The 12,091-nt window shown below is 48.2% G+C and overlaps 1 protein-coding gene across 3 annotated transcripts in view, besides 1 other annotated feature; it reads right to left on the reverse strand.

Moving 5' to 3' along the window:
• ITGA11 (integrin subunit alpha 11) overlaps window positions 362-12,091 on the reverse strand; it is a 135,632-nt gene continuing 123,902 nt past the window's right edge. For all 3 annotated transcript variants that reach the window (XM_011521363.3, NM_001004439.2, XM_005254228.4), the window contains 4 exons: window positions 11,416-11,526; window positions 11,178-11,273; window positions 7,602-7,715; window positions 362-6,960 (listed from right to left, as the gene is read on the reverse strand). In XM_011521363.3, coding sequence (XP_011519665.1) covers window positions 6,889-6,960; window positions 7,602-7,715; window positions 11,178-11,273; window positions 11,416-11,526 — 393 coding nt within the window. In that variant the 3' untranslated portion in view covers window positions 362-6,888. The remainder of the gene's footprint in view (window positions 6,961-7,601; window positions 7,716-11,177; window positions 11,274-11,415; window positions 11,527-12,091) is intronic.
• Window positions 10,623-10,712: a silencer, noted in NCBI's record as "silent region_6587". NCBI's record gives its function as "represses an Ori minimal core promoter by ATAC-STARR-seq in GM12878 lymphoblastoid cells {active_cell/tissue: GM12878}" and the evidence as "EXISTENCE:reporter gene assay evidence [ECO:0000049][PMID:35858748]".

Here is a 12,091-nt window from a genome sequence, read left to right on the forward strand (position 1 = left end):
TCTGTATCTTATCTTTTTCATGTAATATATCTTAGGCATTTTCCATTTCTATATGTATAGGTTTTTAAAACAACTTCATAGCAATTAATTCTGTTGATGGATTGAAAATGTATTTAACTAGATTTTATTGATGGACTTTTAGATTTTCAGTTTTTGATATTTCAAATAATGCTGCAGTCAACATCCTTAAGTACCATACTTAAAGGACAAATTCATTCCTAGTACTGGAACTTGGTTTAGTGACTACTTAAAATCTTGACAGAAGTTATCAAATTGCCTTCCATCTCTCTACATCTTTATTGACATCAGATCTAATCATTTAATTTTTGCAAAGTTGTGATTAATGAAAAATAGCATTTCATGGTTTGATTTGTATGCCTTTATTATGAGTAACATTGAACACTTTCATATATTTATTGACTATTGGTGTTTGCTTTGGGGTTGTGTGTGTTTTTTTTCTACTTGTTAGAAGTTCCTTAGAAGTTTGAGGACATTTTCTCTGTCATGTAATAGTTGTAGCTTATTTACTTTAAATATGGTACTTTTGTATCCAAAGTTTACATTTTTCTATAGTCAAATTTATCACAATTTAAAAAAATGGATTCTGAGTTTTAGATCCTGCTTGTAAGGCTGTCTCTATTCCAAGTCATACTTTTTTTTTTTTTCCCCCATGATCTATTTGAAAAAGACACTTTTATGGCTTCCCTTCCCTTCTTTCTCCTTCTCTTCTTTGGTTTAAAATGTTGATTTTCCTATAATTTGTTTGGTTTTTGTTTGTTTGTTTTTTGAGACAGGGTTTCATTCTGTCACCCAGGCTGGAGTGCAGTGGTGCCATCATGGCTTACTGTCGCCTTGATCTTCCGGGCTCAAGTGATCCTCTCACCTCAGCCTCCCAAGTAGCTGGGACTACAGGTATGTGCCACCATGCCCAGCTAATTCTTTTTATTTTGGTATTTTTTGTAGAGATGGGGTTTTGCCATGATGCCTAGGCTGGTCTTGAACTCCTGGGTTCAAGCAGTCCTCCCACCTCAGCCTCTCAAAGTGTTGGGATTACAGATGTGAGCCACCACACCTGGCCTTGGACTAGTATTTCTTCATTTGTCTTTTTTAAGTGGGGAGGTGGGAGTGGCTAACTTTTTTCATTATTACGTGTTTATTTTTCCAGATGAAGTTTGGTGTAATTTTATCATGTTAAGAGATTATTTCGTTTAGCATTGAATTAATAGATTTAGGGACATCTGTACAGTTCTGCACTTCTGAGCTTTTTTTTTTTTTTTTTTTTTATCCAAAAGAAAGCTATGTCTGGTTAGGTAAATCATACACCTGTATCCAGAGTTTTGTTTTGTTTTTTTTTTTAGGTTTTTCTTTTTAATGAAGGTCTTACAACTATTTTCCTTTTATTACCACTACGTACTTCTAAATATTAATGTTTTTACAAAAGCACTGTAATGGTTTTTTTTGTTTTTAAAGAAATAAATTTTCAGTTACTTCTTTTGGATGTCCCAGATACACTAATCGTTTGCAAGTAACAATAATATGGCATTCTCATTTCCAGCCTTCACATCTCAGGAGAGTATTAAAGGGTGGTATTGGAGCACACCCTCAGGACATGTTTGTTTTCAAATTTAGATTCTCTGTGGCCATTCCAGCCTCTATAGAGATCTGAAAAAAACATTTAGTGCCACCCTCTCATTTTATAGTTCAGGACACAAGCCCAGAAAGGCCACACAAGGACTATGTGTGTCGTAACTGAGAGTAGGCTCTGGGTCTCTTGACCCACTGAACAGTGCTCTTTCACTGTGAGATGCCAGTACTAGGGAAGCTCACCTTCAGATCTCTGCTAGGTCACTCCCTGGCTGCAATAACCTAGTGAGACTGCGGAAATCATCCAGACAGGTTTTAAAACATTTTTTTCTTTGTTTCAAGTAATGTCTGCTGTATATGACAGATCACCAAAGAAAATACTGGCAGTAGTGTATTCCTTCAGATACTTGACCTAGAAAATTTCAGTATGAGAGAGGCAAATTTTAGGTGGTTCACAAAACCTTAGCTTGTTGGCAAGTTTAGACAAAATTATATTTTCTAATTTGCCTGTGCTTTAGAAATTTGGTGTGCTCAGTCCATCAGAGGGGCGGACTGGGGTTTTGCTTTTGCCTTAATCAATGGCAAGATACTCTTGCATGTTGGCGCTTATTGAACACCTACTGTATTTCAGGCACTGCACCACAGATATGCATACAAAAATAAGAGAGACCAGTGTGGGCAACAAAGTGAGACCCCCTCTCTGCACAAAATTAAAAAAAAAATTAGCTGGGCATGGTGGTGCATGTCTGTAGTCCCAGCTACTCAAGAGGCTGAGGTGGGAGGATCACTGAAGTCCAGGAGGTCGAGGCTGCAGGGAGCTGTGATTGTGCCGCTGCACTCTAGCCTGGGTGACAGAGCAAGACCCTGTCTCAAAAATAAAAATAAGAAAGATGGACTCTGTCCTTGATAAGCTTGTTCTCCATTTAGATGCATCTATTTGAAATTTGATTTTCTGTATTTCCTCTAATTTTCCAAATAAAAAAATTTTTTGACTCTGACTTGGGCCACCTTCTGAAAACATTTCAGACACATCACTAAGTTGTTGCACATCTTTTTTAATGCAGGGCCAGGGAGATAATCCAGGAGTTTGAGACCAGCCTGGGCAACATGGCGAGACCCTGTCTCTACAAAAAATACTAAAATTAGCTGAGTGTGGTGTGTGCCTGTAGTCCCAGCTACTTGGGAAACTGAGGTGGGATTGCTTGAGCCCGGGAGGCAGAGGCTGCCGTGAGCTGTGATGGTGCCGCTGCACTCTAGCCTGGGCAACAGAGTGAGACACTGTCTCAAAACAAACCATGCAAAGCTGATTAGAAAGGGTAAGTCCCTCAAGGATAGTGCCCATCCTTTAAAAATAACTTTCTGCTTGTACTCTACTTTGGACCTGGTAAGTTTGCTAGGTACGGCTTAGCATACATCTTATTGAAAAGTTTTAGTGTCCAGGTGCAAGGCTTACAATTCCCTCCTCATGCTAAATCAGCAAGGCTCCGTTCCTGTTTCAGTTTCAGTTTTGGAACATGCTGTCCTATTTTAGCATGATGTTGAAACTAATAGAATAGACAGTGACACAAAAGCACTGTGCAGATTTTAACGTGGCCAGTTAGGCCTGGCTGTCCTTTGAGAAGAACCTAGTTGATGTTAATATTAACATAAAGATAGTAGGGGAGTTTTTTTTTTTTTTAAATTATAAGAAGGAGTGCAGGATAAAAGGCTGGAACCACATTAGCCGAAGGTAAAAGCAAAGACTGGTGTGGTGTTGAATAAAAACAGGGGACCATTCATACTAATGGCTGTATTTAAGTCACCCAAGGCACATTTGGGTGGTGAGGAGACTGCTTCGTGGTGGTGAGGCATGGGTGCAGTGAGTTGTTATGCCAGGAAAGGAGCACGATTAAGCCAGCGGTCTCCATTAGAGGCTGCTTGGCATCCTGGGATTGAAGCCAGGGGACTGACTCAAGTCTAATGTCTTATTCTCAGACAGTATTGATGCTAAAACCTTTTGAATACTGACGGAGGTAGGAATTTATCTTGTGAAGACCTCTAGGGATGGAAAGGTCCACACTGTCTCCTAGAAGCTCTTCCACATGTCCCTAGGCAGAGCTATTCCATAGTGTCTCCATTGTGTTTGCATTAGCACTTTGCCCTTTCCACCTAGATACCTGTCATGTCAAGAAACCATCACCTTCCTTAACAAAAGTAAAACCCAGAAACTCCACTGGGGTTTTTGCTGATTTTCTTTGCTGGCTGCCATCAAGATAGTCCCCAGCACAGTTGAAGGGCATCTAAAGACAGGCCTGACAGTTTAAGAAACTGACATTGAAGATTAGAGAATAGCAGAATATTATAGCTATTATGTAATATTAAATCCAGATGGCTGTTCTACAAGTTTAATGTGCTTAGAATTACCTCACAGAGCTTGGATCCATGAAGTCTGAGGAGGAACTTAGGAGTCTGTGGTCTGACTGAGGCAGTCCTGGGACCACTCTTTGAGAAGCGCAGCGCTGCAGAGATCATCTGCTTTATGAGGCACAGTGGGCTTGGGCACAACCCCCTCTTTCTTCATCTTACAGCCTGGATATTCACTTACCTGTTGATTGCAACTCTCAGCCATTAGAGTCATCTGGGGAAGTTGGAAACAAACTTGGCCCCTCTCCCAACCAATGAAATTGGGATCCATAGTGGGTAGGGCCCTTGCAGTGGTCACTTTTAAAGCTCCCGTGGTTCAAAGGTGCAGCCAGGATTGAGAAACACTGCGTTAGCATAGACTTTGCTCCCTATAAGATGCATCTTTGTTTGCTCTACCAGGCACTCTTAAGGCTCATCTTGGGTATTTATACTTCAGGGTAAATAGATTCAGAAAGGGAAACTTGATAACAAATTGAGAGGCTAAGGGCCTTGATACAACTCTCAGTTTGTCCACCTTTTGACCACTTAGTTGGTCTTGGTGTAGGTCTGGGGAAGGGTGTGAAGGACTGTGGAGTTCTGGAATAAGGGCTGCTTGCCTCTGACCGAGAGTCCAGAGGTTGCAATTCAGTGACCTCTGGGCTGCATCTGACCAGCAGGTACATTCTGTTTGGCCTGCAGTGTGGTCACAGGTGGCAGTTTTTAAAAATATGAATGCCAGCCTCTAAAAATCAGATATCCATAAGAGCATTCTCAGATCTGATGATATTTGATGGACGACTTGGTGCTAAGTCAATGAAAACTTATGAGTGTGGGTTCATTAATTCTCATTTAGCCAGGTTACCCCATTCATAAGAGTGATGACGGAAATGGAATATGATTTAGCAACATTTCCTTCTGATTCTATTAGAAGGCAATGGGTTTTGATACTCAAATTTTAGTTTCACCATTTTCACCTTTTGCTCCACATCAAGCCCTTCTAAGGCTGGGCTCGAATAACAGAATCTGGCTTGGGAAATAGCAGTCCTGGGTTTAGTTTTGGTTTTGCTGTGGGAGCCTAGGGCTCTTCCTGGTTCTGAGTGTCCTCATTTATGCAAAAACAAGATCAAATTATTTCCAAGGTTCTACTTACTGGGAATCCAAGACATGAATGGCACAAGAACAGAATGGAGACGCCTTGGCTGATGTCAGAGTGTAAGACGGTTAACAATGAAACCGGCCTGGAGAAGTCTGGGAGGCGTGAGAGGGAAGAGCTGGAACCAAGGGCAGAAGCTACAGTGAAACATTTAGGTCCTAACCGTCCACACTGGCCATAGATGGAAGGGTGATCTTGGGAGAGGGAGCGCTCCACCACTGGAGACGTCACACGGAGGCCAGGCAGCCACTAGGAGGGCATGTTGTGGGCAGCAAATGGTGGATGAGTCCCTTCTGACATGTAGAGGTAGGGGGGAGGAAGCAAGGAACTCCCTCATTCTACTTCCTCTCCTTCAAAGGGGAGTATGGCTCACTGTGATATGCTCTGCCCACAGAATGGGATGTCAGTGCTTGGTTGTTTTTAAACACTGTATTTTTAATTTTTCAAAAATACGACAGTAAAGGTCGTACTATGCACAGGGGGACTGATGCCTTTCATGTGTCCCCCTTGCATTTCTACCTCAAAACAAGACTAAGGCATAAATTACTCCACTGGGCGCCAGGCACGCCCCTTGTCCTTGGGGCATTATCACTGGTCATACCACTTGTCCTGGGGGCCGGCAGATGAGATATTTGCCACCAAGGCTGCACAGGCTCCGGGAGTCCTTGCACGTGCTTTATTCAGTGCATTCCAGAGGGGACCCCTCAACAGCGCTGGCCAAGCCCTTCCCTGTGCACTGGCGGGCATGAGGGAAGGATGGGAGGCAGTGTGTGTGTGTGTGTGTGTGTGTGTGTGTGTGTGTGTGTGTGTGTGTGTGTGTGTGTGTAGGGAGGGGGTGATACAGGGAGGGGAGGCTCCCTACCCCTACCCCTGCTGCCCAGCTGCAGCCAGGCCGGTGCGTCCATGTCTAGGGGCAGGCTGCAGCAAGAAGACGTGGGAATGCACAGCCCCAGGGATTGTGTCATCCACATGCTTCCCATGAGGTACCTGGGAACAAAAGTGACCCGGGAGGGTTGGCAGCTGAGAGCAAGGGGCTGCAGCTGGTGGGGGAATGTGTGAGTTGCGGTCAATGTGAATGCACGTGGGTGCAGAGCCCGGCTACCTCTCATCTCAGGACAGCGTCCAGTATCCTGGTCCCACTTGCCTGGCCATCAGTCTCCACATCTCAGAGTCTTTCTTCATCCCTGGCTTGCAGCTGTCACCATCAAGCCCTTGCTCTTGGGTTCATTCTTCGGGAGCCCCAGGGGCCTATCTATGGGGAAGGGAGTGGGTGTGACTTGGGAGCCAATGGAGGGGTGGGATGGGTGAGAGAAAAGGGCAGAATTCAGATCTGTTTTGTCTTGGATCCTTCTGGAACTAGAGGCCTGGAGTGTGCAGATTGGGTTCGTATTTACAGTCTTCCTCCCTGGGTTTCTCTGGAGGATGGGGATGATTACGAATTCCTAGCACCTTAGTAGCTGGGGCAGCAAATGCCCTCCACAGAGCCTGAGGGAGGCCTTGGCATGGGCCTGGGTGTGTGTAGGGGTGTCCCTTTAAATCCCTAGGGGTCTGTGTTAAAGGTGTCCCAGTCTCCCAGTAGGGCAGTTCCACTTAAAACCAGCTTGAGTTCCATTCTGGAGGGAGCAGGCGCCATTGCTCGGGAGATGAGGTCAAGTGCAAAGCCAGCTGGCTTCCTCTCCGCTCCAGCTCGGTGGGGCCACAGGCCTGGGTCTCAACACTACCTGGACTGGTGTCCTGGCCCCCATCAACTCAAAGTCTCCTCTGGAGCCTCACTCCAGCACTTTGGGGGTGGGGTCCAGACCAGGCTCCCTCCTGCGCCTGGCACTTCTAAAGAAGCCGAGCTGTGAGGAGGCAAAGGGAGACGTCTCAGAGGAGGACAGGGTGGGCAAGGCCTGCCCCAGCTTTCCCTCCACTACCTTTCCTTGGGATTCCTCCCTCAGGGCTTCCTTGAGTACCCCCAGCTCATTCTGAGCACCCCCTCCTCCAGAACTGCCTCTGTGGACTGGAACACAGTGGATGAGACCATGGGCTGCATGCAAGAAGTCATACTAGTGCCCATCTTGCTGTGTGACCAGCCCCAGCCAACATCCCTCTCTGGGCCTCCTTCATCTGTAACAGGAGGAGGCTGAGACCAGGGGTTTGTAACCAGAGCTTCAGAGACAGAGATGGACTTCGGGAGGTTTGTTAACAGCTTGACATTGTGGGAGAAATTTTGTGCAGTTGTTTGTACTTGCTTTTTTTTTTTTTCTCTAATAATAGGAACCTTAGTTTTCATCAGGTTCTCAAAGGCATCCACAAACAGGTTAGAGCCATAGTCTGAGTGCCGTCTGTTGGCCCTAACCAGTGTGTCTGCTATGGCGAGGGGTGGGGTGCCAGCTCCCCTGGAGAGGAGAACGTGGCAGCGGCCACGAAGTTCCAGGGGCTGGAGCCTGGGCCCACCAGCCAGGATGCTGCTCCTTCCCTCCCCTGCCAGGGCCCTCACCTTCCACAGTGCCAGGACCAGCAGGGCCAGCAGTAGGAGGCCCCCCAGGGTGCTGCCTACAATGATCCAGATGGGGACCTGCCAGTCCTCTTGCTTGGAGATCTCAAACACGATCTGCAAGGGGAGGGGGGCCGGGCCAACAGCATTACTCTTCTGGGGCTGGGGTGGCAGTCTGGGAGGGGCAGGAGGGTGGAGACAGCTGGCACCTGGTGGGGGAGCTGCATCCTCTTCCTCAGGGGGATACCAGAGGGATGGGTGGACAGGCCAGCCAAGGCCTCAGGACGACCACTGCCTGAACAGCCGACACTGGGTTCAGTGGCCCAAGTGATCCTGCCTCCTTGAGACACTTGCTGCCTTTGGCCTCAGGCCCCCGCCACTCCCTGGATCCTCCTCCCACCACATGGGCTACTCCTTCTCCCTTTGCTGCCTCCGCATCGCCTCCCGCACTTCTAAAGGTCAGTGTCTCCCACGGTTCAGTCCTTGCACCTCTTCTTTTTCTAGAGTCACTTCCTGGGTGAACTCAGGGCTGACTTTCCCACGAGTCACAGTAGTCATGGTGCCAAGGCCCATAACACTTTTAGGAGCCCATGAAAATGTTTACATTTCTTTTAAAATTAGAGGAAAAAATGGAATAGAATCCAGCTTGGATAACATTTTTTAATCTTTGTATCAACATGGTTATAAACCATAATTTTAAATACTTTTTTCCTATGGAGGAAGGTGTCCCAAAGGCAAAAGTGGCCAGGGCGTGAAGGTCAGAAAGTAAGCCCAGGCCAGCTCCCTCAGTCCTGTGGCTATCACCGTCTACACGCCGACTGCTCTCACATTTCTGTCGTCCGCCTGGATTCTCCGCTGAATTCCAGGCTCACACCGACTGTCTCCTGGCCTGCCTGGCAACTGTAACAGGCCCCTAACCAAGCTCTTAACACCCCAGCCCCCGAAGCCTGCTCTTTCCAGCTCTTTCTCACCTAAGCAAATGGCAGCACTATCCCTCCGCGCTGCTCAGGCCAGAAGCCATGTATCCATCACTGACCCTAACTCTCACACCCACACGGAGCCCAGCAGCAAAGTCTGTCCATTCTACCTTGGAAACACCTGGAATGTGGCCACCACTCCCACCTCCTGGGCCTGAGTGCCCTCACATCTCCTCTGGAGACTACAGCGCTGCCCGACTGCCTCCCCTCTGCAGTTTGTTCTTAGCATAGCAACTAGAGGGATCCTTCTAACGAGGAAGGCAGGCTTATGCTCTGCTCTGCTCTGCTCAAGCTCAAAGTAAAAAGTGCAGTCCTGGCCCTGGCCTGCAAGGCCCTCCCCTCTCGGGTCCCACCTGTCTTGCTGACCTCACCTCCTGCTCCCTCTTGCTTTACTCCAGCTTTCAGCCACCTGGCCTCCAGCATGCATGCCATGGCGTGCCTGCTGTAGGCATTGCTATTCCCTCTGCCTGCAAGGGTTTCCCTCACGCAGCCACGAGACACTCCTGTCTTCCTCATGGTCTCTGTCTGATGTCACTTTATTGGAGAGGCTTTTCCCAACTCCCCTGTATAAAACAGCACCCCCTGGCACTCCACCCTTAGATGTGTGCCTTTTTCTGGGTAGCCCTTATCACCAGTTGATAACGTTTATATTTATGTTTATTGCCTGCCTGGAATGTCAGCTGTAGGAGAGTGGGGGCTTTGTCTGTTTTGTCCCTGCTCTATCCTCAGAACCTGGAGCCGTGCCGGGAATGTAGCAGGAGCTCAGCTAACACGTGGAGTGAATGGACCACCTGCAACAGCAGACAGAGCCATGTGGAGTGAATGGACCACCTGCAACAGCAGACAGAGCCCTCCTTTGGCCACTGACTCACTGTTCAACTTGAGGCAAGTCACTGTCCCTCCTGCCTCATCTCACATGCCTCGGTGTGCATACCTGAGAGATGGGGGTGGGGACAGTGCCTCACAGTGTTGAGAGGTCTGTCACCATGTTCAGCACACAGCTGGGGGCCAGCAAATGGCAGGGCCCTTATGTGTGCTCTTTCTGTCCCTCAAGGCGGGCACCTGGCTCTGCCTCCCCAGCGCCAGCACCTAGCACACAGCCCAGCATACAGGGGCTTAATTTTGGGGTTGCTGGATTTCTAAAAGAGAAATGAGGCATGGCCGGGCACGGTGGCTCATGCCTGTAATCCCAGCACTTTGGGAAGCCGAGGCGGGCAGATCATGAGGTCAGGAGATCGAGACCATCCTGGCTAACACAGTGAAACCCTGTCTCTACTAAAAAAAAAAAAAAAAAATTAGCCAGGCGTAGTGGCGGGCGCCTGTAATACCTGCTACCCGGGAGGCTGAGGCAGGAGAATGGCATGAACCTGGGAGGTGGAGCTGGCAGTGAGCCGAGATCCTGCCAACGCACTCTAGCCTGGGTGACAGAGCAAGACTCCGTCTCAAAAAAAAAAAAAAGGGAGTGAGGCATCCAGAGAGTATAGAGGAATTTTTTGGGGGGTTGAGTGGGGGTGGAAGAAGGAAAAGTCACCTAAAAGACAAGCATCAATGTGAGAAGAAGGGTTCTCTCTCTCTCTCTCTGTGTGTGTGAGCAGGGTATGTGTGGGGGAGCGGGGGTGCCTGTACCACACCTCCCTCTCTTGGATGCTGGGAACATTGCAGCATCTTTCAAGATTCGGTTCAAACAGTCTCCAGAAAGCTTTCCGGGGATGTCCCTCGCTCGGAATCGCTCCCCTCCGGGCCTGTGCTCACCCCCAGACTGCACTCACCCATTTATTGTCACTGTTTCCCTGTCTGCCTAATTTATCTCTGTTTCCCCTTTGGGGCCCAAGCCGTAGGAGACACACCCAACAAATGCCAAATGAATGAACAAACAAAAAAGCTCCTTAGGTGGATCCTGATACCCCTCTGCCTGGCATCCCCCTGCCCTGGCTGTGATTGGTTTTTGTTGGATTGTTTTATAAGGGATGCTTCCTGACCCCGCCTCTTTGCTCTCCAGCATCTCCCTGGGGTGGTGTTGGGAGCTTACTCCGCCTCTGTAATAGGAATGTTTGCCTGGAGCCCAAGCTGGCATTTCTGGGGTGTGGCCAGTGGAGGGCAGCAGCGTCCCACGCCCGGCTGCCCTGTCTATTTCCACAGGACTGGGCTTTGCTTGCTTGCTTTCTTTTACAAATTTATTTCTTTTCTTTTTTCTTCCTTTGCCACTTCTTCCAGGAATGGGCTTTTCTTTAAGACCTCACTTCTCGTTGGGTCTCACAGAGTCTCACTCCTTTCCTGGACCCTGGATGAAGCCAGTGTAATCTGTAACAATCTGCTTTTACGCAACTAACAGAGGCTGATACCGAGGCATCTCCCATCCTTTGGTCTTCACAAATTCAGTTCACACCAGACCTCTGGACCTTCCCTAGTGTTGCCCCTGAGGCTTTGTCTTGCTTTTTTCCCTCTTTTCAGCGGCTGCCCTAACAGCCCACAGGTCTGCCTGATTCTCTCCTGCTGGGACATGCAGCCAGGGGTTGTAGGAAAACTCTATAGAGGAGCACGGCCAACCCTTTCCCAAGCTGTCCGGCCTAAGCCCAGTTCTGCAGGGCTCCCAGGGGCTCACCTGGCGGCTGGGATCCTCCTCACGGAAGATGAAGGGGCTGTGGAACTGCCTCTGCAAGGCTGCGTTGACCATGATTTTCATGGATTTGTACTTGAGCTGTGCAATCAGAGGGCTCGTCAGAAGCTGGCTTGGAAGCTTTTCTTCCCGTCCCCTCCCCAGGCAGCCCCAGGTGGAAGACATCCCAACAGCCGCCCCCTTTCCCTTCTTCCTTCCAGCCCAGCCCAGGGGCTCTACTTACTGCTTTTAGGGACCTCAACCACAGGTTCCCCAGTAGATGGAAATTGATTTCCTGGTTGGGGACCAGCCGTATATTGCAGTTGATGGAGACGACATCAGAGTTGCTGTGATTCTGAAAGAGAAGATGGGTCTCAGGGCTGAGCTGCTGGGCTAGGGGAGCAGGGGGCAGCAACACTGCTTGAACGACTGGGGCTCTGCTCCTGGGGGCAGGGGCAGAGGACAGGGGACAAAGAGAAAGTTGGGAGTGGGGGACATGTGCATTGCGTCTGCCAGGGGATGACTGAAGGACAAATGAAGGATGGTATATCTGATGCTCCACTTGAAGCTGTACATTGTGACCGGCCTGGATATATTCCAGGGACAGAACTTTTGTTCAACATTAGGGAATCTATAAATGTTTCCTATCACCATATAAACACATTAAGATAAAAAATTCTATGATCGCTGCAACAGATGCAGAAAAAGTATTTTAGGAAGTCCAACTTCTGTTCATGATAAAAACTCCCAGGGAACTTCCTGAATCAGATAAAAGGGGTCTTCATAAAGTTCATGGAAAATGTGTATTATGGAAAAATTATGCATGGATTCCAAAACTTTTTTTGCCCCAAAATAAACTCGTATTAACTTGTTGTAACCTATGTGAACAGGATCTAGTTTGAGGCACTAAGAAAGATAAG

This window comes from Homo sapiens, chromosome 15 (genome assembly GCF_000001405.40).
Source record: "Homo sapiens chromosome 15, GRCh38.p14 Primary Assembly".
NCBI lineage: Eukaryota > Metazoa > Chordata > Mammalia > Primates > Hominidae > Homo > Homo sapiens.